We start from the raw sequence: 27,197 nt of genomic DNA, 5'->3' as shown, positions 1-27,197 counted from the left end.
ATAAAAGGTTTTACATGTGGGCAAAAGTTAAATACCATTTAACTCAATTTCAGGCCCATATCCTAAGGAATTAAACAAATCCAAATATTAATATACTGATGCTCATCATAGCATTGTTTATAATAGCAAAAAATAAAAAATAAAAGACCCTAGAAGTAAGCTATATTTTCAATAATAAGGAGGTTGGAATGCTATGTATCCATCTAAAATACAGTAGGATATTTCAGGGTCTGTAAGGGCTATCCCAATTTACTCTTATTTTAAAAAGACATTTAGATAAGTTAAACTTTTTTTTTTTAAAGCATGCATATCTAATAAAATGATGGCCTTGCAGATAAACACAAAAATACTAGAGTTGGTTCTTTGTCACAATGAACTACATGCAACTTATAATTCTCTTGCTATTGCTTATCCATATTCTTGATTGTTTCGTGTAGTAAGAAATTGTCGGGCTTTTTAAACATGAGAAAACATCATTCCACAGACAAAGCGTCATTGCTGTGGATGTGCTCCTCTTCCCAGCATGTCTGTATGAAAGTATTCCACATTTTGAAATCTTAGCCTTGAAGCCATCATCCAACTTGCCAGCTTAGACCATACAACGAACAGCCTTCCCCGGGTCAGGAACAGTGAAGACATGGACGAAAGATAGATCCTGCCTTCAAGAAAGCTAGACTGATGCTGAGACATAGTCACAGAGGAAGGAAGTTGAGTCAGGACTTGTCTTCTGGGAGCCAGAGAGACCCCTAAGGATACCCCAGAGGGGTAGCCCTTGAAAGAAAGAAAGGGGTTGGATAGATGGGGTTGAGAGAGCCTGGTAGGTAGTAGGAATTCTTGGAAAATACAAGAACTGAAAACAGTTGAGCACTTTTGGGCAACTCAGCAGTCCTGGAGCCTTATTTAGGAGGAGGAGGTGGTGGGGGGCAGCGCTTCTTCCTCTTCTGTGGAGCCTCACACTGGCTCTTCCTGCCGGGCGGGCTGCACGGCCAGCGCCCTCTGAGTCCAGCTTCCTAATTGATTCTGCCTGTGTCCAGTGCAACTGACTCACCAATTAAGGCATAGCTGATTGAAGCTTGCCCTCATCTCCGGTTATTTCTTCTTTCCACACATTTGTTGATAGTGACACCGAACAGAGAGGGACCACCCACAAAACCCTCCAGCTTTAGACAACGAGAATGTCTAAACAACAGCAGACACTGCACTGCTTCAACTTGAGTTTGGAATCCCAGATTATGAGGTGGGTGCTTTGAAAGGGTCCCATTCCAGGCCCTTTCTGCAATGTGAGGAGTGTGAGTAAAGAAGTTGCCTCTTCCAGTGGTCAGATAAACTTTCACGCCGTTGCAAATGAAGTGGAAACAAATTGAATGCTGGTTTAAAAAATAACAAAGACAGGCTGCCCTAAAATTCAGTCTCCTTACTTCAAAAATCTCTATCATAATTCAGGACTCTTTTATTATGTCAGTACTCTTTTGAAGGCACCCCACAAACAGGTAGAAAAGAGAACATATTTATCGTCAGAGCTAAGAAATTTGAGTACAAATCCAGGGTTAGCTTCATGGGTGTGTGACCTGTATAATTCACATATGCTCTGTGCTCAGACGGCCTCTGCCCTTGGTTTAATGCTCTGCTGCTGCTCTCTTTTTTCTTTTTTCCCTTTTTTTTTTTTTTTTTTTTTTTTGAGATGGAATCTCGCTCTGTCGCCCAGGCTGGAGTGCAGTGGCATGATCTCGGCTCACTGCAACCTCCACCTCCCAGGTTCAAGTGATTCTCCTGCCTCAGCCTCCCGAGTAGCTGGGACTACAGGTGCTTGCCACCATGCCCAGCTAATTTTTGTATTGTTTGTAGAGATGGAGTTTCGCCATGTTGGCCAGGCTGGTCTCTAACTCCTGACTTCAGGTGATCCGCCTGCCTCGGCCTCCCAAAATGCTAGGATTACAGGCATGAGCCACCACGCCTGGCCTTGCTATTGGCCATCTTGAAGCTCATAATAATTTTTGAACAAGAAGCCCTGCATTTTTATTTTGTACTGGATCTTGAAAATTATGTAGCCAGTCCTGATGGCAACTATGGCTTGCTGCAGACACAGGGACAGGAACCAGGCACTGTGGTGGAGGACTGTGTGCATTTATGGACATTTTTTTCTCTACATAAATGCCTACCAGTGTTTATCAGTGCCTGGTTTTATTTCCCAGTGTCCTCAAAGGCTCAAATAAGAAAACAGTATTTTTTTTCTTTAACTGGCAACTGGGCACAGAGTCCTTCACAACTATTAGTTTGATGTGCTAGCTATTAAAATTAGCCAGTGTCAAACATCAGCAAAAAATAAACATGTTTAGAAGGCATATCGTACCATGAAATTATTTAATATTTTAACTCCAAAAATGAGTCAAACATTTAAATCAGACTCCAGAAGCACATGCTCATGAAGTTTCATGTAATGACATTCAAACAAATCCAAGCAGAATTGCTAGAGTTTCTTACTAGTGACTGGGGTATAAGATTTGGGGTTGTGTTAGATCCCAATAGTGTCTAATACTATGTCGGTGGACAGACTGCAACAGACTGATTCCCTTGGAAGCTTGTTAAAAACATCCTAGGCCTCCAGGCTGAGAGGTTCTGATCCTGCAGGCTTTGGGTGGGCCCAGGAATCATACTTTTAAAAATCTTGTCCAGGGCATGGTGGCTCATGCCTATAATCCCAGCACTTAGGGAGGCTGAGGCAGGAGGATCACTTGAGCCCAGGAGTTACAGACCAGCTTGGGCAACACAGCAGGACCCCGTTTCTATAAAAAATCCAAAAATTACCCTGGAGTGGTGGCAAACACCTGTAGTCCTAGCTACTCAGGAGACTGACTGAGGTAGGAGGATCCTTTGAGACCAGGAGTTTGAGTCTGTAGTGAGCTATGATCATGCCACTGCACTCCAGCCTGAATGACACAGTGAGATACTGTCTCTACAAAGAAAACCAAAACAAAACAATGTTGTCTTTAAGATTCTTAGGCCCAGCCAAGTTTTGGTCATCCACCAACTTGATAAGCAGAATGGGATTTCAGAAAGTAAATAAGTCAAAATGCACAGTCAAATGTCGACCAAGTCTCCTCCAGCATAGTGTGTCTAACAATGGAAATGTGGCAAGACTGTGGTCTTGGTTAGCCACTCTGGATCGTGCAATTCCGATTGCAAGACTTTGGGCACATGATCTGGACGTCACAAGAAAACCCAAAACAAAACATCTGATATCTATGAAAGTGAGTCAAAATTGAAGAAATGTCTGGGCAACGAGATCAAGTGCAGGTTCAGGGAGTGTCATGACAGGGATGGCTCCAGAAGCTAGGTCCGGGCTGCACTGGTGAAATGTTTGCTCCCTGCGAGACCCACAGCTTCCACTCCCGGCTCATTAGACGCTCACATAATGAAGCCAGAGCGCAGGAGGCTCATGACAACTGGGGAGGAAGAAAAGCCAAAAACAAGTACAGCAGGAGGCTCTCTATTTAAAAATAGTCAGTTCCCTCATTGCCTCACAGCACACCGCATTATCTTGGTTACTCAGCAATCTGCAGATCCCCAAAGTGGTCCTTGAGGAGAAGCCAGTAACTCAGCTCCTGACCCCTGAGTGGAATGCTAATGAGAACTCAGCTCCAACCGGGGCATACTGATCTGTGCTGCATGTTCTCCTGCAAGACCCAGCTGGCTGTTCAATGAAGTCAATCCAGCTTGACCCAGCAAGAGTTTGTAGCAAATACCCACGAAAGCTGCTAGACTTAAGGCTAATCTTTTAAGTGTTACCGATGGAGGATCATCTTCTCCCTCTAAGGATAAGAAAGAGGCAGTTACACAAGCAGAAATACCTTCTGCTTTGTGCAGTGGATGAATTTAATGGAGAAGAGACTGCTCCTGAATTAGCAACATGACCCAGAGTGAGGGAAACTCAGAGGGTTTAGGCAGGTGGGAGTAAAGCTGCAGGAGGTTTCTTCCACTATTTTTCAGACCTTCTACCCAAGCCATTTCATCTCCCCCAACCCCATGAAGGTGCGTCGAACACTGCTTGAAACCGCAGAACTGGCAACGTTCTGGCAAGACAACAGCTCCTTCCTGGGAAATGCCTTCAGCTCCAACCTCCAGTCCGAAAGTGTTTCAGGCAAAAAAATAAAAACTCCGGGGCCGTGCACAGGCTGTGCCAGCAGACTTATGCCGCCAGGTCCCTTGGCCAGCACAACATAGGACCTGGCATCTGGATGGTCCTCCCCAGGCTCAGGGATCACAGCTGAGGCAGAGACCCTGGCAGCCACCCAAGGGTCTGCCCGTGTGCCTGGCAGGCTCAGATGTCCTGGCACTGAGACCCAGACCTAAGGAACGAGCAGAGTGAAGCCACGCGGCACTAAAAGCTTCAGTGATTTCTCAAAGCTCATTTTAACCAGGTTTAGCAAAAGCAACAGTTTAATCCCACAGAAATAATTAAAGTTTGAGGGCAGGAAAAGGAAACAAGGCTGCTTTTCCCCGCATTGATGGGATAATCTGCATGTGAAAGACCACCGTTTTGCCTACCAGAGGTTTTTTCCTCCCCCCCACCTTATTAATTAGTTATTTTATTTATTTACGTGAAGCACCGGGAAGAAAAAACAGAAACTCATGTATGCTCAAGCTCAGCTCCCTGTTAATGGAATTCACAATACAAATTGGGGAGCATGTGGGTTAATGTGTTACACCTGAGGTCACTGTCCAATAAAGGGCCTGACCATAGCAACATCTAACAGAAACACTGAGTTGTCAGGCTGTATTCACATGAAATTGCCGACATTTGACCACTTTTTGATCTACAAAAATAGCGATTTAATATGGTTCCTCCAAGTAGCTTTTTATTCTGAGCAAGTCTTTCTAGATTCATCTAATATAAAATATAAGATCCAAGGGTTTGATTTCCTCTCCCTCAGAGTATGTGATGAACAAATGAAAGGCAAGATGAGGCTGTGGAAAGTCAGGAGTGGCAACCCGAGTTTAAGGGGATGGCGTGACTATATTCCTGTTGTCCTGATCACATTCACAATGTTCCAGTCAGTTATAAATATAACAGCCAAGGCGGCCGCACCTGCAAGCAACTCAATAGGGCGCGATTTTAAAATGCACGGTGGGACCTCTTGCTAGTTGCATTTTCTTTCATATCTTCCTATCGTTGTCACCTGCCATAAAAATAACATCAATTTTAGTGTAAAACCAGAATTCTTTGGACATTAGATGCTGGCCACGAAAACCCAGAGCATCACAAACGGTGTTTTGCTAACATGTCTCTGGAGTGGTCTGCAGAGTGGTCCAGGTACTCTGGGTAATTTCACCGCATTTTACTCAGAGACTATGTTGACCAATGGCCAAGGACACGAGCGTGAATCAAAGTGTGGACCTGTTTCTGTGCCATATTCTAAAATCCCCATTATCATTAGCTAAATATTTGTGAAATCATGAACAGGACATTCTAACTTAGTGGTTTGGGTGTTTCCATTAAAAATGTCGAAAGGTAGAGGACTTGGTATTAAGGTATGCACATGAGAACTCCATACAGAAGGACTCATCTTCCTGGGAGAGATGTCCTGGGAAAGGCTTGTTCTGATACTGCACTGTATCCTTTATATCCTCTGTCTTTCTGTATTCGAACCATCTGGGATGTAAACACCTCTCAATAAAGCACTCATCATCATTATTATTTGAGTAAATAATTACATTTGTTAAGATGCTGGGCACTGGGCAAAATGTTCTAAAAGCTCTTATCCCATTTAATAACAGAGCCCCACTGGGACATGTATCTGAAGCCAAGGTAGATTTTTTTCTTTTTTCTTTTTTTTCCTTTCTTCTTTTTTTTTTTTTTTTTTTTTTTTTGTGAGACGGAGTCTCGCTGTTGCCCAGGCTGGAGTGCGGTGGCATGATCTCGGCTCACTGCAACCTCCGCCTCCCAGGTTCAAGCGATTCTCCTGCCTCAGTCTCCTAAGTAGCTGGAATTACAGACACACATCGCCATGCCCGGCTAATTTTTTTGTTGTTGTTGTATTTTTTTTTTTTAGTAGAGATAGTGTTTCACCATGTTGACCAGGCTGGTCTCAAATTCCTGACCTCAAGTGATCCACCCACCTGGGCTTCCCAAAGTGCTGGGATTACAGGCATGAGCCACCACGCCCAGCCCCAAGGTAGTACTGATCCTCGCTCTATGGATGGGAAAGGGCAGCTCACAGGGGTGTGATGTGACACAACCAGTGCCCACGGCTGGTCACCATGGCTAAGACTCAAAGCTGCAGTAACCTAAATCTTAACCATGAGGCATTTCCATTTCTAAAATTACCTTCTCCCACCAAAACAGAATTTAAATTCACCCCAAAGACTAAAAATTGTCATGCTGAACAGTAACTGCAATGGGATATATGTGTGTTGCTATAACATAGCAAAACCCTAGACAACTCGGGATCTAGGGTTCCTATTTTTCTTGGTTGTTTTATCCATGGTTTTATTTTTCACCTTCTCCCCAAATACCACACGATCAGCTCCTACTCTTTCAGCTGTCAGTTTTCCCACCCATCACTCTTCCTTTTACCCTCAAGACCATTTTAAACTATAGCAGGACAAGAAATCTAGTATTTCCTTATCCATTCACTTACCTATGTGGTCAGTAATATTTAAGCCCATTCGATGGGCTAGACACCCTTTTAATAGATGCAGCAGAGAAAACACAAGAGTACAAGTGCCCACTGAGACTTTCAGGGGTGAAGGTGGGAGAGAGAGGTCAAGGAGCAAGTGGAAAAAAAAGAAAGAAAGAAATGCCTGTTATAAGGGCTCCCAAAAATCAGGGCAAGGTGATATGGAGAAGGGGAGGTAGGGAAGATGACCTTGCAGCTGAGATCTCACAAGGTGCTGAGGCCCTAAGGAGGTGGGAAAGGGTGTGGGGTGCCCACAGTGGGAAAAGATCAGAGACTGGCTAGTAGACAGAGAGGCAGCAAGGCCTCCTCCTAATGAAAGAAGGCCTCACCCTAATGAAAGAAGGTTAGATTTTATCTCAGGTGGAAAGGGAAAACCTTGCAGTAGGGGATGAGGTTGGCCAGGAGACTGATTGGCTGGGATGTGCTTCTTTCTTCCTTCATTCAATGCTATCTATGGAGAGCCTGACCCTATGCTGTGTGCCGTGGAGACAGTGGTGACCACAATGTTGTCCATGAGATGCTGGCCTGTGGGGAGGGCAGTGAGAAACTAGGTCACATGTGGCCTCATGGGAAGACCACAGGGGCCACTGAGCCCCTTGTTAGGTGGGAAGGGAAGATTTCCTAAAGGGAATGTTATTTTATCTGAGATCAGAAAATGGGAAAGAGTTAACCAGGCGAAGAAGGAGTGTGGGAGAACAGGAAGGAGAGAAACAGCGCGTTCCAGAGAAGGGAAAAGAACATATGCAATGGTCTGGTTTTAAGAAGGTGCATGGTGAAGTCAAGAACAGAAGAATTTTGATTTGGCTGGATCAGGAAAGACGAAGAGAGAAAGCTGGTGGAGACCAGGGGTGGGAAGAGGTCATACTAGCAAGAGATGAGAACCCACAAGCAAAAGGCGTATCATGCAGGGCTTGACGAGGGGGCCTAATGATCCAACCATCCAAGCTGGGACGCTTCTGACAGTGAAGGGCAGTGCTTTTACTAACTAGTCCGTGAGAGCCCATACATATGGAGACTAACCCCTGGGCAAACAGGGATGTATCCCCTTCTAGGTACTAATAGGGAGTTTGCCATTGTGTTAACAACAAGGGGAAGGTGATGAAATGCAAGCAGGGAAGTCCTCTAAGCAGCTGTGCTTCCACAGGCCTATCTGCTTCATGTGGAAGCACATGCACTGGAGGTCAGGACCAGCGGAATGGAACTCTGCACCAAGGCCAGGGCTGAGATGCTGGGAGAAGACAATGATGACAGTAACTGCGGAGGGCCAGCTAGACTAGATATGGGGGGCGGGGACTGGAGATTACCGGGGAGGGAGAATCAATGGACTTGGAGACTGAAGGAGGGACCTAAAATGGCTTGTAGGTGTAGGTTTTGGCATCTGGATCCACAGTGGCACCATTCCTGGGATGAGGAGTGCTGAAAGAGAAAGCTGTCTCTGGATACTTCTTCCCCCGCCCTCCCCACCTAATTGCTTTCCCTTCATAGTTAATAGCCAAATTGGTTAAAATTGTATGCCAAGTAAGAGTAAATGGGCTCTGAGTGGCATTCAAGGGGCCCTATATAGAGTAAATGGCTTTGCTCCTCTGTGGTAGTCCAAGTAGTGAATGGATGGGTGAGTTCTGGGTATGTGAGGTGTGAACATTTATGATAAGGTATAACTGTATCTGGGAACATACTACTCCCCCTGAGTCTCAGGATTTGATCAGTTTCAAATCAATCAAATCAGTTTTAGTGCTCTTTATTATTGATATTATTTCTTATATCTACCTCTGTTTCACTAGTGCTACCCCAAAGCTCCACAAAACTGATATCAAGACAGGGTACCAGGGAAAAAGCCTCAGGAAGAGGGCAGGCTGTGTGGTCGACAGGATGCTCAGGTGACGCATGGGTGCTGCTGGGACCCAAGCAGTTGTCACAGGCAAAGAAAGGCATGGGCACTGAAAGCAGGGGACCAGAGGACAAGGTTTACAAGCAGCAGTCTCAGTCTCCATAGCATCTCCTTGGTAGGAACTGGGGAGAAATGGCAGGGGCACAACCACCAGGTCACTGCCAGGCAACAGTAAGCCAGCTTTTCACTTGATTAGTCTCCTTGGCTAAGTGGCAGAACCAATGAGTATGGACACCCATCCATATCCACAACCATACACACACACACACACACACACACACACACACACACACACACCACACACACAGAGCTTTCAGCAGACCTGTCTATGTACAGCCACAGAGAATTCCAAGATAAAACAACCTCGAGAGATTCCCAGATGGATAGAAATAAATGACAAACTAACTATTGTATTAGTCTTCACTTTACACTTCATACATATAAACAGTTGTGCCCTTTCTACTAAGATGGGCACCACAGCTCCATAAGGATACATTATCACATAAATGTCCCAACACATCATATTCAGTGATACTCTTTTAAAACACAAATCTGAACTAGAATTTACTCTATAGAACAAATCTTTAGAAGAATGACATAGGGTTGAACCATGCCGGAAAGGTAACTCTACCTGCTCAGATAGTGAAGATAATAGGATAGTATTTGAAATCTTCAGATGAGTATTCATGATGTGGTTGCGCACTTACTGATTGTGTATACCCGCATGTGTCTCTTAAACTCTCTCAGCTTCTCCGTCTATCTAGTCTTCTGTCAACTCAGCTGACAAATACATCTGGGCCCAGGACCCCAGGTGTAAAAGTTGGAAATGACACTGGTAATAATCATGAGAATCCAATAAGAAGTATTTTCTAAATTGCAAAATGCTGTATTTATTATTGATATTATTTCTTATCTCTATCTCTATTTACAACATATATCCAAGTCTTCTTGCCCTCCAGTTAAACACTGATGAACAGAGAAATCAGAAATTGGTTAACTGGCAAGTTTATTGAAGGTAGACAGTCTAAGGAAAGATCCACCCCAAATCCTCATTTGCCAAAAGAGTTGAAATGAGAAGAGTAAAGGAATATTACCCAATCTAGTCATGCTCTCAACTACCAATTCCCATGTTCACCTTTCAGAAAGATTTTAACCTGATGCTAATGTTATGTTATTTATTTAATAACAGACTTCTCCTTCTAGTCTTGTCCACAGTCTAGACCAGGGATTGGAAAACTAAGACTCAAGGGCCATATTTTGCCTGCCACCTATTTTTTTAAATAAAGTTTTATTGGAACATAACCATGCCCACTCATTTACGTATTACCCATGGCTGCTTTCATGCTACAATTGTAAAGCTGAGTAGTTACAGCAGAAATTGTATGGCCCACGAAGCCTAGAATATTTACTATCAGGCCCTTAACAAAAAAATTTTGCTAACATCTTATCTAGGCTCATACAAAGAATTCACAATTAGCACACTATAATGAAGTGGAGATTAATGAAAAATGTTTGTATCATATTAATGGTTTTAACCCAAACAATTTATTGGCATATACTGGCTAATCGTGTTAGTTCCCCAGTAGTATATTGGTTATTTTCAAACAAATGCATTTCATCAAATTGATAAAAATATATAGTATAATATAAAAAAAGAATTGAGCATAGTTTCTGTACTACATCTCGCATAGAAACAGTCCCTAGATCACTTGTGTAGCCTTAACTCTACAAAGCTGCTATGCAGGAATTAGGAACTATTTTGCATTATGCATCATTTGAATCACTGTGAAATAGCTGCATTATAATTTATTTAAATCAGTAAGGTGATATGGATTTAAAATGTAGCTGTATCTATTGCCTGTGCTTATCAAGGGATAAGCACAAATCAGCTCATGTGCAAAGGGAGAAACATACCTGGAAATCAGCAGAAGTTATATCCTCACAATCACAGGAAAACAACTGGCACTTACAGACCCACAAAAATAGTTTCTTTTAAATATTTTTATTAATTTCAATATTAGGAAACTACTTATTTAAAATATTTTCTTTATGATTGTGAAAGGATTTGGGGTTCATTGTAAAGACACGCTAACAGTGGAGAAATATATCAGGTGTACCTCCTGAATCCTTCACCTTCCTTCCCTCCCTCTGTTCCTTTATTCTTCCCTCTCTTCTTTCCTCGTCTCTCCTCCCCTCCCCTCCACTGTCCTCCCCTCTCCTTCTTTCTTTCTGTCTTTAAGCAAACAAAATAGAAGCCATGAACCATACTATTCTGAAATTTACATGTGTTTCTTTATCTAACCATATATGATTATCACTCTTTTGTGGTAATATATATAAACCTACTTTATTCTTGTAATTTAGAGCCAAATTACGTTAAATTATACTGGATCTAGAATTTATTTACATGTAGGTTGTTCTCAATTTTTCTCTATGTAAGTTATTTTTAATGTACTCATGACATTTAAAAAGCAGTGCAACTCTTACTATCTTTTATTAGTTTTGAATTGAATAAAAGTGGGTATTTGTTCTCTCTGCAAACTTCGTCTCCCTAGGTGTTTCAGCAGGCAACATTTGCCCATGTGCAGAAGGGCTACTTTCTGCTTATGATTCATAACATACCCCTCACCCCAGTATCACTCACAAACTGTACATTCTATACCTATAAGGCCAGAGAAGGTAGGAAGTTTTAGAATCCAGAGTGCCTCCATTGACAAATCTCAGGCTGAAAGAAAAGTACTGGGGAAAATCCAGCAACTCTGGTGTGTACTTTTGTTAGTTTATGAAGTTTTAGTGACTTCTGATCCCACAAGAAAAGATCAAAACTGCCAAAGAAGATGAAAGTTACAAGGGTTTCTAAGGTGGGCTGATTTTGCAACAAATATTTGCAAATGAATCTTAAACAGAGCCATGAAATTCAGTGGATTTCAGGACATCTTCATTATAAAACCAGAGAAAAATCATATCATTCTCCTTCCTCACTCTCTTCCCCTACACTCCCCCAAGACAGACCACAGGAGGTTCATTTTAAGGTCTGATGAATGGTTCAGAAGGTCTGTAGTAGATTAGGATGAGAGTTTTCTCATTTAAATTCTATATTTGAACTCCAGGCTCACCCAATTTGTCATGGTTTCTTTTTCCTTAAAGGAAAAAAGAAGTCAGTTATTTGGAACATAAAACAGCAAAGCAAAACTCTCTCCAGACAGTAAACAATAGCTTTAAAAGACAAAACCAAAAACCTAACAGAATTTTAAGACCCCCTCTTCAGGGATGGTGTGCTGTGGGCTATTTCAAGCAAAATCTCGAAAATCTATGTTCCAGGACAACTCAGTTTGATCAAGGCCAGCACTTTCACCCTAACCTTTCCTCTGTTTTAAGACTCATGGAGATCCTCTCACTACCTCTTCGACATTTTTAAATGGAGTTTATCAAAGGCTGTTATAATTTAAATGATCTACTTCTGACTTCTCAGGGGGTCACCCGAGTATTGTGAAACCAGAATTGGCTGTCAGTGCACAACATCATAATCCCAGCTGTCACCTTCTAGAAGCCCCTTCACGCCCTTTCATTAACTTGAAGTTAACACTGCAGTGGCCACCAGGAAAACAGTCCTAAGATGAAAGGTACGGGCAGGAAAGAATCTTGGGTATTTGGCTGTCATAAGAACTTGTCAGCATGCACATGAATATTTTGATTAAAGAATGATACACCCCAAAGGATCTGGCACATTCTAGTCAGACTCCTTTAACTCAGGACAGAAGACTAGCATCGATGATCACACCGCGAGTTCTACACAGGTTTATACAGAAGGTCATAATTCTCCATCCCCATCACACAAAGGATGTGAGAAAATGGACTCAAAGCTCCATTCAGGGTGTTTAGACAGAATGAGACAGTGAGAACTGCCAACCCTGGACTCAGATAATTTCACCCACAATCTCATTCTGATGGCCCTGATTATATTAAAATGTAATGAGTTTGATGCTTTTGTTTTCAGTGTTTTGTGGATGTTCTAGTGATGTGAAAAAAAAAAAAAAAAAAAACTTTTTTCAACCACAGTCCTCTCCCAGGTGGCTTATCTACTCAAATTCATTCATTCATTCATGCTTCTATGGAACATCTATCTCATAGGCACTGGCATGGTTGCCCAGAGCATTTTCCCTCGGAAAACCAGGCAAGTCTGCCCAGCAAAGGCCTGCCTCTCAGCCACAGGTATAGGCACCTGAACCAGGCTGCTGACTAGGCTGCCCCACCCCTTGAGATTCAATCATGGCTCCAGAATGGGCACCTGATTTAGCAGAACCAATCAGAGTTCACGGAAGACACCTAGAGGAGATAGCTGGGGAGAGGGGATGACTCCTAACATCCAGTGTAAGGTTTTGGGTGCTGACTTTTCCACCCTAGGAATTTGGTGCTAGGGAAGCTGATGTAAATTTCTATTTTGCTTTTCATGAATTTGCTACTGTCTGCCACATGCCATTAAGTAAGTCCTAAATGAACATGGCCCAACACTGAATTTATGGTAAAAATGGAAACTGGTTTAAGGTTTCAAGCAATGAAGCTCAGCATTATTTAAACATATCCCCAAATACTAATAAAAAAAATGCTTTGTCGTCTGAGCTTTTCTCCAAATAAAAAGACACATACGGTAAGAACATCAAAACTTCCTGTCATTAAAAAGTGAACCACAATCAGTACTTTTTTATATAACTAAAGCAACCTAACATGCATTATACAACCGTTCACACTAATTTGATAAAGCTTCTCTTCAAGAATTTCTCACCTACTGCAGATTATTTTTTAATTACACTTTTTATTTTGAGGTAATCATAGATCCACATGTAACTGTGTGAAATAATAAAGAGGCCAAGCATGGTGGCTCACGCCTGTAATCCCAGCATTTTGGGAGGTGGAGACAGCAGGATCACTTGAGCCCAGGAGCTCAAGTCCAACCTGGGCAACACAGCAAGACCCCGTGTCTTACAAATAAAATAATAATAATAATAATAATAAGAGAAATGCCACACATTCTTTACCTGGTATTCTTCAATGACATGTTACAAACTACAGCATAACATCACAAGGGATACTGACATTGATATGATCAAGACACAGAACAGTTCCACCACCACAAGGAGCCCTCATGTTACCCTTTTATAATCACAATGACCTCTCCCCACTCCCATGCCTAACCCCTGGCAACCACTAATCTGTTCTCTCTTTCTATTAAACTTGTCATTTCAAGAAAGTAATGTGAATGGAATCATGAAGTATGTGTTCTTTTGATATTGGCTTTTTTATTTTTCACTCAGCATGACTCCCTAAAGATTCAAGGATTCATTTACATTCTTGGATGTATCTATCAATAGATTGCTGTTGTTTTTTTAATTACTAAGTAATATTCCATAGTGGCGACATAGAACAGTTTGTTTAACCATTCAGTCATTGAAGGATATCTGGGTTGTTTCTAGTTCTAGGCTATTACAAATAAAGATGCTATGAACATTTCTGTATGGGGCTTTTGTGTGAACATAATTTTAATTTCTCTGAGATTAATGCCAAGGATGCAATTGCTGAGTAATATGGAAGTTACATATTTAGTTTTAGAAGAAACTGTCAAACTGTCTTCCAGAGTGCCTGTGCTATTTTACATTCCCACAGCAATGTGTGAGTGATCCTGTTTCTCCACATCCTCCCCAATATTTGCTGTTTTTATTCTTTTTATTTTTTATTCTAGTTACTCTGATAGGTATAGTGATATCTAACTGTGGTTTTAATTTTCATTCCCTTCATGGCTAAGAACACTGAGTATCTTTTCATGTACTTTCTTGCCATCTGTATATCCTCTTCAGTAAAATGTCTATTCATGGCTTTTGCCCATTTTTAAATTCAATTGTGTTTATTGTTGAGTTTTAAGAATTACTTATATATTCTCTATATATTTGTGGACATGTGGACATCTGCTTTGCAAATATCTTCTCTCAATCTGTAGCTTATCTTTTCATCCTGTTAACAGAGTCTTTCACATAGCAAAAGGTTTGGTTCTTTTTTTTTCATTTTAATGAGATCCATTTTAACAAATTTTCCTTTTACAAATTATATTTTTGATGTAAAGCCTAAGAACGCTTTGCCTAGCCCTACATCTTGAAGATTTTCTCCCCACATCTATTTTTTTTTTCAGAAAATGTCATGGTTGTATAGTTTTAAGTCTTTGATCCGTTTGAGTTAAATGTTGTTTCAGTTGTGAGGTTTGAGTCAAGGTTAATTTGTTGTTTTTTGTTTGTTTTTGTCTGTGAATGATCAATTGCTCCAGAGCCATTTGTTGAAAAGATATCCTTCCTCCATCGAATTGTTTCTGCACCTTTGTCTAAAATCAGTTGGGTGTATGTATGTGGGTATATGTCTTGTGTTCTCTATTCTATTCCATTAATCTATATGTCTATTTCTCTTCTAATGCCACATTCTCTTGTGTACTGTTACTATATAATAGGCCTTAACATTGGGTAGATTGATTCCTTCTACTTCATTCTTCTTTAAGATCATCTTACTATTCTAGGGACTGTGACTTCCTAGGTAAACTCTAGAATACTCTACACAAATCTTGCAGATATTTCTATAGGAATTGTATCAAACCTAAACACAGTTTGGTATTATTATACATACATATTAAATTAAACCTACATATTAATATTAAATATATAACTATTAAATATATAAATATTAAACCTACATATCAGTTTGAAAAAAAATAACACCTTTACCCTGTGGAGACTTCTCATCCATGAACATGGTAAGTCTCTCCAATTATTTAGGTCTTCTTTGATTTCCTTCATCAGCATTTTGTAATTTTCAGCAAATACAGCCTATATACACATGTTTTGTTAGGCTTATTTCTTTGGAACAATTATAAATTGTATTATGTTTTAAATTTCAGTTACCATAGGTTCATTGTTTTTATTAAGGTAGAGAAATAGGATGGTTTTTGTGTTGATCTTGTATATGTGACCTTACTGAGCTCTCTTATTAGTTCTAGGAAATTTTTTTGTGTGTAGATTCTTTGAGATTTTCTATGTACACAATCATGTTATCTGAAAATAGGAAGTTTTACTTCTTCCTTTGTAACCCGTATGCCTTTTACTTCTTTTCCTGGCCTGACTAAAACTTAACACTTTGTCAAATGTCAGTGTGGACATCCTTACCTGTTCCTGATCTTAAGAGGAAAAGCTTTCAAACTTTCCCTGTTAAGTTTGATGTTACCTGTAGGTTTCTGTAGATGGTCTCTATCAATTTGGAGAAGTTACTTCCCATTCCCAATGCACTGAGAAGTTTTGTATTTTTAAAATTATAAAGGGTGTTTTTTATCAAATGCCTTTTCTGAGTCAATTAATATGATCATATGAGTTGTCATTTTCAGCTTGTTGATATAGTAGATTACATTGATTGATTTGACATGGATGTTACATTGGCTTTGCATATCTCAATAATCCTGCTTGCAGGTAGCATATTATTTTTTATATACATCATTGGGTTTGATGTGCTGAAATTTTGTTGAGGATTCTTGCATGTAAGTTCATGAGAAATATTGTTCTTTTTCTGCACTGTCTTTGGTTTGTCAGGGAAACGCTAGCCTTATAAAATGAGCTGGGGTGATTTCCTTACTCTTCTATTTTTCTGGAAGAGATTGTGTAAAATTGATATTAATTCTTCTTTAAATGTTTGGTAGAATTCTCCAGTGAAAGCATTCTCCAGACCTGAAAATGGTTTTTTTGGCAGGGAGAGGGTGCTTTTAAATTATCAACTCAATTCCTTTAATAGTTATAGGATTAGTCTAGCTATCTATTTCATCTTGGTTGAATTTTGGAAGTTTGCGGCTTTGAGAATTTGATCAATTTTTTTCTAAGTCGTTAATTCATGAGTGTAAAGTTGTTTACAATAGTATTTTATTATCCTTTTAATGACTGCAGGTTCAGTACTGGCGTCTCTTGTTTCATTCCTGATATTGCTGATTTGTCTTCTCTCTTTTTATTTTTTTAAATTTTTTTAACTTGTTTTTTTGAGACAGAGTCTTGCTCTGTCGCCAGGCTGGAGTGCAGTGGCACCATCTCAGCTTACTGCAATCTCTGCCTCCCGGGTTCAAGTGATTCTCCTGCCTCAACCTACCGAGTAGCTGGGACTATAGGCACATGCCACCACACCCAGTTAATTTCTGCATTTTTAGTAGAGACAGGGTTTCACAATGTTGGCCAGGATGGTCTCCAACTCCTGACCTCAGGTGATCCATCTGCCTCGGCCTCCCAAAGTGCTGGGATTACATGCTTGAGCCACCGCGCCTGCCCCTCTCTTCATTTTTATCAGTCTTGGTAGAGGTTTATCAGTTTTACTGATTTAAAGAACCAGCTTTTGGTGTCATTGATTTTTCTCTACTGTTTTCCTATTTCAATTTAGTTGAGTTTGGCTCTTTATTATTTTCTCCCTTCTGCTTGCTTTAGTTTTATTTTGCACTATTTTTTCTAATTTCTTGAGGTGGAAACTTCAATTATTAGAGAACTTAAATATGTAAGTATATAGTGCTATAAATTTCTCCCCTAACATTGCTATAGCTTTGTTCCACCTCTTGTGATATGTAATCTTTGTTTTCATTCAGATTTGTATTTTTTTTAATTTCTTTTAAGACTTCCTCTTTGACCCAAGTATTTTTTTAATAGTATACTGTTTAATTTCTAAGTGTCTGGGGATTTTTCTGCTGTCTTTCTGTTATGAATTTCCTGTTCTATTCCATTTTCATCAAAAATTATATTCTACAATTTTAAAGATTTAATTTTAAGGTTTCTACTATGACCCAGGATGTTTTATCTTGCTTAATGTTCCATAGGTGCTTGAGAAGAACGTGTATTCTGCTGTTATTTAGATAGAGTGCTCTATAAATGTCATTTCAATCTCATTGGTTGATGGTGTTGTTCAGCTCTTCTATATCCTTGCTGACTTTTTGTACAGTAGCCTATCAACTGGTGACTGTGGAATGTACAAGTCCCAACTATAATTGTAAATCTGTCTATTTCTATCCTCAGCTCTAACAGTTTCTGCTTTGTGTATTTTGAAACTGTGTATTTTGATCCAAACACACTTAGGATTGTAATGTTTTTCTATGCAAGTGATCCTTTTATCATTATGAAATATCCCTTTCTTTGTCTCTAGTAATTTTCTTTGCCCTGAAGACTTTATATGGTATTAATAGAATCACTCTTACTTTAAAATTAATGTTAGCATGGTACATATTTTTCTGATTTTTTTACTTTCAACATATCTGTCACTGTATTTCAAATGAGTTTCTTTTTTTTTTTTTTTTTTGAGATGGATCTCGCTCTATTGCCCAGGCTGGAGTGCAGTGGTGCAATCTCGGCTCACTGCAACCTCCACCTCCCGGGTTCAAGTGATTCTCCTGCCTCAGCCTCCCAAGTAGCTGGGACTACAGGCATGTGCCACCACGCCCAGCTAATTTTTTGTACTTTTAGTAGAGACGGGATTTCAACATGTTAGCCAGGATGGTCTCGATTTCCTGACCCCATGATCTGCCTGCCTCGGCCTCCCAAAGTGCTAGGATTACAGGCATGAACCACTGTGCCAGGCCTCAAATGAGTTTCTTATAGTCAGCATATGGTCATACGGTTGGATCATGTTTGTTTGTGTTTTTTTAATCCACTCAAACAATCTCTGCCTTGACACTGATGGTCTTAAGAACACTTAAATTTCAGGTGATATATTTTGGCTGTGTCCCACCCAAATCTCATCTTGAATTTGAGCTCCCATAATCCCCATGTGTCATTGGAGGGACCCAGTGGGAGGTAACTGAATCATGAAGGTGGGTTTTTCCTATGCTGTTCTCATGATACTGAGCAAATTTCATGAGATCTGATGATTTTATAAAGGGCAGTTCCTCTGCACATGCTCTCTTGCCTGCTGCCATGTAAGATGTGCCTTTGCTCTTTCCTTGCCTTCTGCCATGATTGTGAGGCCTCCCCAGCTACGTGGAACTTGGGTCCATTAAACCTCTTTTTCTTTATAAATTACCCAGTCTCAGGTATGTCTTTATTAGCAGAGAGCAGACTAATACATAAGGTGATTAATGATATATTAAAACTTGAGTCTGCCAGTTTATTTTTTTCCTATTCATCCTCTTTCTAATTCCTCTGTTTCTCATTTCTTACCTTCCTATGAGTTACTTTTTAAGAATAACTCTCTGTATTGTTTTCTTAGTGGTTGCTGTAGGTATTATGGTACAAATATGTAATTTATTACTGTCTACTCATATCAGTATTTACCATTTCCACTGAAGTATAGAAACCTTCTATTTAGGTCCCTTTACCCTTCACACTTTTAAAATATAATTGTCTTAAGTATTCCATCCATAAACATTGGGTATCACATCAGATGGTGTTAGGCCAGTTTTGCTTCAACTATCAAACATAATTTAAGAATTGTCTGAGAATTAGGATACTCTAATTGTAATCTTCTTACTCATTCCAATGTTCTTCTCTCCTTTCTGAATTTCCAAGCTTTCTTTCCTTATTTCCTTTCTGTTTAGAGAATTCCCTTTAGACATTATTTAAGGGTAGGTTTAGAGGCAACAGTTTTACAGTTTTCCTTCCATTGAGAATGCCTTTATTTCTCCTTCATTCCTGATGGATATTTTCACTGGATATAGAATCCTGGGTTGGCAGTTCTTTTCTTTCAGTATTTGAAAAATGCTATGCTACTTACTTCTGGTCTTCATGATTTCATATGAGAAATCTATGTAATTCAAATTGCTGTTCCATATAAGCAATGTGTCCTTTCTCTCTGGCTGTTTCTAGATTTTTTTCTTGTCTAATTATATTTATGATGTGTCTTGGCATGGATTTACATAGGTTTATTCTATTTGGAGTTTGCATAACCTTTTGAATATGTATGCTTACACCTTTTACCCAGTTTGGGGGAGTTTCCAGACAATACATCTTTAAATACCTCTTCAGTCCCATTCTCTCTCTCCTCTCCTATGACTTTGATGTAATTAATGTTATATTTTTTTGTTATTGTCCCTCAAGTCCCTGAGACTGTTCATTTTGGTCCAGTCTATTTTCTCGCTGTTGTTCAAATTGGGTAATTGCTATTGATCTGTCCTGAAATTCACTGATTTTATCTGCTGTCATCTTCACTCTATTGAGCTCATCAGTGAGCTTTTATTTAGTGGTTGTATTTTTCAGTTCAATAATTTCCATTTGGCTCTATTTTATAACTTCTATTCCTTTGGGAGATTTTCTACTGTTTCATTTGTTGCAAGAGAATTCCTAATTGCTTGTTAAAACAATTTTGTAATTCCAACATCCAATTCATGTAAATACTGGCTTCTGTTGATTGTTTTTTCTCATTCATGTTGTGATTTTCCCAGTTCGTGGCATTTTAATTGCATTCTGGGCATTATGGATTTTATATTATGAGACTCTGGATCCGATTTCATCTTTTCTCTTAGCAGTCATTCTCGGTAGGAGAAGGGCCAAGGGGGTATGCATGGGGCAAAAGATCAACTTCTTATTTGGCCCCACTGAAACCATGTAGGATTGGTTGTTCCGTTGATATTCAGCTGGAGTAGAAAAAGTGTTGTCACAAAGGTTTTCTGTGGTCCTTTGGCTAGAAGGAACAAGATTTTCTGGGACTTTCTTTTTTTTTTTTTAATCTGTGCCTATTGTTGGTCCAGGTGAGATTCTGGAATGCTCTATTCAGGATATATGGGAGTCAAAGAGGAAAATCAGGGAACTTCCCTTTTGTCTTTAAGACCCAAAGCCCCTAGACATTTCATTTTCTCCTTTTCAAGTCTTCTTATACAGATTAGGCATACTAATCCAAAAATCCAAGATCCAAAATATGAAATTCTCCAAAATCTGAAACTTTTTGAGAACCGATATAATGCTCAACAGTCATACCCAAAGGAAATGCTCATTGGAGCATTGCGGATTTCAGATTTTCAGATTAGGGATGCTCAACCCGTAAGTATAATGCAAATATTCCAAAATCTGAAAAATCAGAAACACTTCTAGTCCCAACCATTTTAGATAAGGAATACTCAACCTATACTTGTTTGTTGCGTTATGTCTAGGGCTTCTCAGTTATAAAGGTGAGGACCTCATTGGAATATGGTTACTCCATATTGGCAGAATAAGAAGTCCAGATTAGTTTTTATATTCAAAAGTATTCCAGTCTTCAATATCCATAAACTCAAAGGCAATTTAGAATAATTTCTTAGCCCATTTCCTCTAATGACTTTTTTTCATTCATAAAACTTCCTATTTCCAAAGATCATACTGTCCTTTGTTCCTCTGGGAAGCAATCTGAAGGAAGGCTTTGATCATTTAAGTGCTTGTTCTGTTTAACGTTGCAAGCACCAGGATGGAACACCTATTTGAGGCTCTGGAGGATATTACAATATTACAATATTGGAATAGGGATGAGATCTTCACTTACACAATGGCCAAACAACGGGAAAGTCTCTAGAAAAATGCGGCTATAGACTTAAGTCACTTTTCTTACCTTAGCCTAAACAATTACCATGAATGAGCATTCTCAGGTTACACCTGTTCTTTGAACTTCAGTGTACTTGGTTCCTCCCTCCTAAATATGAAGCTTATCATGCTGCTTCTTTCCCCTCAAACTGAAGCCCAGATATTAACTCTAGTGTATTTTTCACTTTATACTTTGTGTTCCAACTGGAATGAATTTCTCCCAATCCTCTGTTGCTCACTTCCTCAAACATACCTAAATTAAGTGCTTCTACTACCTGCATCTAAGATAGCACCAACACAATACGAGCCAGGGGATTCTCTCCAGCATATAGAATGTGCCTCACAAAAGCCTGCCTTGGCCATTGCCCCCAGCTACCTCATGCAGGTCTGCTCTCCAGGGGAAGAGCAGCTCTGTGTGTCAGGTACAGAAAATCAACATGGGCAATGGCAGCTGTGAGTCCCAGAAGCTGTGACATGGCTGCAGCCACAGCTATACCTTCAAGTGAAACTGTCAACTGGCCCTGCAGGGGTGGTATAGTGGTGGTTGCGGTAGCTGTACTGACAAATTTAAAGGTGGCTAAAGGGAAACAGGATTTATTTTACAGAAGTCTACTTTAGAAATTTTCCTAGGATACTCCAAAACTGGAGGGGAAACCTCTATCCCATTGTGTAAGATTCTCCTTTAACGTATCGTCCTTTTGTTCCACAATATTAATGGAACAGGCAATGCTTGGCACATTGAGGATACAGTAGTGAGCAGACAGCATTCCTATCCTTGAAAAGCTTACCTTTAATAGCAGACAAGTTACCCCAACAGTTACCCCAGTGACCATTTAATCAATCGTGAGAAGGACAAGGGAAATAACAAGTGGGTTCAATTTTCTTTGAAATCTTAGCAAGAGCCATATTCTTTCAAGAGTGTCAACGTAAGCATCAAGCACACCATAGCATTGTGTTTATTAGAGCACAAGGACAATAAGTGAATGCAATTGTTTCAGAACTAGCAAGCCTTTGAATTCAATGTAATTATTTTAGTGCCATGATTTTCTTTGTGCTCTTAATAAATATTCTACACATGGGGGCTCCAAGGGCCTCAATGAAAGGGCAGTGCATTTGATAAGACAGATTTATTGTGAAACAATCACTATGAGGGAGACAGGGGTGTACCATGACTGGAATGCTCCCCCGAGCTGCCCCTACCTCTTTGTTTGTCCTGTCGGCTTGCACCAAAGTTCCATTCAGGCAAGGTTCCACATAGTGAAGCTCCTCATTATACTGCAAAGGAAAAAAGTCAAGAAGGAACACTTAATTAAGGAATTGAAGGGTACTTCTTAATAATTTAAGGAGGTACGCACACAAACAAAAAAGCGGCACAATCACAGGCTCCATTTATTCACATAAGGTGAACTCTCTCATGGGTGTCCCTCTAGACAACTATGATTATGTGCTGCAGACAGACTTCATTCTTTTCTTGTTTGAAGGAGAAACTTCTAGAGCATGTGCTGGTAGCTGGCAGGGTTCAGGGTGCACCCTGTTAACTGATCATTCTTTGGGGTTGCCTCCAAACGCTGGCAGTTCCCTGGGCATGGCTGACAGCCCATGGTCCTGGTGGGAGCTGAAGAGCACCCCAGAGTTGCGTGGATACAGCTCCAGCTACTGTCTTTGGCTTCATGGAACCAAGGGACACATGTGTGGCTTACACAAGTGGGGACAGAATAAGCCTTGATGTTCCCTGGTCACTCTGCAAGGGTATGTGGGTGCTGATCAGGAAACTGTCCATGCACAATTTCCCATACATTGCCAACACCGGCACTCCCATCACTTCAATCCCAGAATATCCAGAATAGGACCCCCCCACACTTTTTATTTGCCCGAAGCTCACAACCAGGTAGCAAAAATGTGAGTATTCTCATCATTTCTCTCAGCAAGCTTGCTTCTCTGCCCTGCAGGGAGGCCGGTCCTTACACATCTGATCGTGTTGCCTCTTGTCAATCCTATTCACAGCTCCCATTGCTGTGCAGATGAATGTTCCCGGGACTTTGTGAGGCTCTGGACCCTTGGTCCTGCTGACACTCTAGCATCTTTACTCATCAGCCTTCCCCTAAAACTTATCCTGGCCAGCCATTATTCCCCTGCTGTCCTCTGACATGTCTCCTCTTTTCCTTCAGTCCCTCCAATGCTGGGACCCCTGCTTTGAGCTCTCGCTCTGGCACCTCTTCTCTCTGGCTGACTCCTGTTCACCTCCTGGGTCAGATTACTCCCACCTCCTCTGGGAAGCAGGCTCTGGTGCAGGCTAGGCACTGGGTTAGGTCCCTCTTCCATATAATCCCTGTAAATTCTAATTATCTGTTGGCCGGATTCCCCACCACAAAGTGGGACCACACCATTAGGGCCCATGCCTGGTCCTTCGGTGTTATTTTCTGCAGCAAGCACAGGGCTGGACCCACAGTAGGTGCCTGAGGACCATTTGATTGATGACAGCGTTATGGTATATCTACTTTAGCAGCCAAAGAGGCCCGGAGCTCCTGAGGGAAGAGAACAGAACCATCTCTCCCAGACCCAGCTAACTCTTGAGCAAAGAGGGCCTCGGGAGTTTGTGCTTTAAAACTAAAGTCAGCGAGGACCAGGCAGGGCTGTGAGCAAGGGAGTGAGTGGAATAAAGATACGAGTTTGGGAAATCCCTCTGGATACACCGCAGGGACAGGTCGAAGAGGGGCTAGACCTAAAGCTGCTCAAGAGCAACTGGGATGCATCAGGTTTCCCATGGAGAGAGCCTCACTAAGCAAGCAGAAGTGGTGATCAAACTGACCTTGGCAATTAACTGTTATTGAGCACTTACTGCACCTAGGCAGCAGGGAAACTTCATCTGCACGTTATCTTAGCACCGTTTGGCAAGCACGTCCAATCACTCACCCTTTACAGATGGGGAAACTGAGGCACGGCAAAAATGATCGACTTGCCCAAAGACACCAGAGAGTAAGTGAGGGGTGGTGGAGTCCAGATTCAAATTCAGGCAGTCTGACCTCACTGCCACTCACAACAGGTCCTCAATGCCCCCAACTTATCCTCTCTGGCCCCCAAACCTCCAGATCTCCCCATCAGTCAGGCTTGTGCCCTCTCGTTCATCTTTGCTTTTAGTCATATAAAAAGTATTTGAAAAATTATATCCCAATGATTTGAGGGCTTAAATATCTTCTAACAAGGCATGGAGAAAAAATATATTTATGACATTAGCCACTGACAAATGGGAGTATGACTTTTAGTCAACAAACAGAACATCAGCTCAGGATCCAAGAAGCAACTGCAGAGTTCAATATGAAGGAAAACTCCTCCAAAGCTCTCAATCTCTGTTGGACTGACCCTGGAAGTTGCTGAGAAAACAGCCAGTCCCCTCTCCTTCACTTCCCTTGCTGACTCATTTGGTTTAGGGTGACAATACACCGATTTCTAAGGCCTGAAGCACAAAGGGTCTTAGCCAGTCACAGCCATCCAGTTCCCCGTTGTTGGACACGACCTTTCATAGGCTGCCCTGCAGCTAGGGGCAGTCAAATGACCATGACATAAGGGAAAGTTTGATGGGCAGTTTCAATGAAACGTTTTCCTGCCATTAAGGGAAAACTCATCTATACTCACTCTTTTCTTCCTGCTTGGGATGCTATTGTGGAGTTGCTGCAGCCATTTTGCAACTATGAGGTTACAAGAGAAAGAACGGAATGCAAAGCCCAAGGAAGACACAGCAGGAAGACGGAGCCAGTGTGGGCCCCTGAAGATAATGTTGAGCTACTGTGCAAAAGCTGCAGCCACCTTCCTCCAGGCTTCTTACATGACATTATCAGATGCCTGTATGCTGAACCAACCTTTCCTCACCTGTTCTATAAACCAGAGCCCAAAACTTTCTTAACTGAGGTTCCCACCGTGGTTTTACTTCCTCTCATTCTTCCATTTTCCAGGTAAATTGAATCACTTCATTGACATTCTACCTAATACACACTCTCAAAATTGATTCCTGGGGTTGTACAGTTTGAGCTGGGAGTCAGGTCACTTGGGTCCAAGTCCTGCCTCTACCGTGTACTCACTGTGTGGCCTTGGAGAAGTTGCTAAGCCTCTCTGATCCCAGAATCTTATGCATAAGAATACACTAATTCACCTTCAGTCTCCCTCTGGGGGCCCTGCAGAAATTGAGTGAGGCAACAGACCTGAAACTGCCTTGCTAATATAAAAGTCTATACTTGTGGGGGCTCCAGAGGGGATTTAAAAGTCAAGAAGACCAAGGAGTTCTTGCCCTCATCAGGGAGGTACATGTGCAGTAATCAAAACCATGCTTGCCAGCACTGTGTGTGCTATGGCCTCAGTGGAAGAATCCGCTCTTCAGAATCCCAGCCAGCTTGTTAGTGGCATCATCCAAGCTTGCAGTTGACTAATTTCCCTTGACTGCATCAGGATAAAGCTATGCTGAGCAATCTGGTCTGTATCACCAGAGGGAGCCGGGCTCAGCCATGTGTGTAAGGGAACTGTGCACACCAGGCAGCTGTACTAAGGCCTGCTAGCTATGCACGCTCCTCTCACTACCCAACGGCTCCTCCCGAGGGGGACCCCAAGGATGCCCTGTGCACGGAACTGCTTCCAGACTCCTCGCAGCCCTTTATTTGGAAATCTTTCAGCTTCTGCATTTTTGTGTATGTTCTCTAGATTTCTATTTTGTGAAACGATGTTGTAGAAGAGCCATATATATTTACAACTCAAGATTTGGTCACCTCTTGCCCTAAGACACAACAGCCTTATAAATGGCTCTCCTTGATCCCTAGTGAAATAATCTGATATCAACAGTCTAAGGAAGAAAAGGATACAATGTACATCATCACCAGCTAGATGCAATTTCCTTCTATAATTTGCTTTTACTTCCCTGCACTACCAGGATTGAACCCTAAAGACGTACTTAAACTTTCCCCTTTCTGCCCAAGTGGTTAGTCCTTCTTGCAAATTTCTGGGAAATGGGAAGAGTCTCTTAGGAAGACAGGAGTGGGCCCAGGCTGCCCTGGAAATGGGTCCAGTCCAGCCCACCAACTACACGGTAAGGAAATGGACAAACAGCTTTCACCCTTTAAAGAGCTTAGAAGCTGCCACATAGCATACGGGGACTCGGATGCTGTTGGCTTTCTTCTCTCTGCTTCCTTCCTGGTTGGCTTTCCTTTTCTGATTCTCACAAGGGTAGAACAGTAGAGCTAAAGCAACTGAGGCAGGCAGGCCCGGGTTCAAATCCTGACTCTGCCACACACTAGCTGGGTGAGCTTGGCCTCAGCTTTTGTGTTGGGGAAACAGGTATTCTAACTGCACCTCTTTCATGAGCTCACTGTGAGGATGAAATAAGTCAACATAGAACCTGGCACGTAAGAATGAGAAAGGCATCTAGGTGCACAGGCACAAATGCACAAAAAAGAAAGAAAATATATATGTGAGTGTGATGTGTGCTACATAAAGGGAAAGGCCAACAGATGACACCCTGCACCCAGAGCTGGAACTTGCTATGAAGGAAGAGGGTGATGTCAGTGACGGCAAAGTGACTCACTCTTTGGAACAGGGGCATGTGTCCTTGGCCTTCTCTGGAGATCATGGATCTGCATTTGTTGGGGATAAGATGCCATGTCATCAGGCACATGTCACTATCTATGTACCCAAGACAAGCCCATGATGTCTGGCCACACACTGTCCCACTCTAAGCCACCCTCTGAATCCTCCCAGGGACCGGGGTCTTTGGCAGATAGGGAGCCAAGACGGTGCAGCCAGCTTACTGGGAAATCCCCACGCAGGAAGGCATCTGCCACAGAACTCTTCACTTCTTTATTTGCTCACTGAATATTACCCTAAGCACCTACTGTGTGCTGGGGACATAAAACACTGGCTAAGTTTGCTTATGACCATCATTGTAGAGTGACAATGAACCGTTTTTTACTTTTCTTAGTAAAAGAGTATGTTTACTCTTGTTCCATCTGAACATAAGGCCTTTTTTCCTTTTGTTTGTTTTTGTTTGTTTGTTTTTGAAACGCGGGTCCCACTCACGTATCACCCAGGCTGGAGTGCAGTGGTGTGATCACAGCTCAC

At 41.4% G+C, this 27,197-nt stretch overlaps 1 protein-coding gene across 1 annotated transcript in view; it reads right to left on the bottom strand.

Annotated features, from left to right (window-relative positions):
- CACNA2D3 (calcium voltage-gated channel auxiliary subunit alpha2delta 3) overlaps positions 1-27,197 on the bottom strand; it is a 952,006-nt gene that overhangs the window by 470,382 nt on the left and 454,427 nt on the right. The window contains exon 9 of the mRNA NM_018398.3: positions 22,299-22,373. Within this exon, the coding sequence (NP_060868.2) occupies positions 22,299-22,373 (75 nt within the window). The remainder of the gene's footprint in view (positions 1-22,298; positions 22,374-27,197) is intronic.

This window comes from Homo sapiens, chromosome 3 (assembly GCF_000001405.40).
Source record: "Homo sapiens chromosome 3, GRCh38.p14 Primary Assembly".
In the NCBI taxonomy this organism is placed as follows: Eukaryota; Metazoa; Chordata; class Mammalia; order Primates; family Hominidae; genus Homo; species Homo sapiens.
The sequence above is the reverse complement of the archived record's forward strand: the minus strand, read 5'-3'. Positions and strand labels throughout refer to the sequence as shown.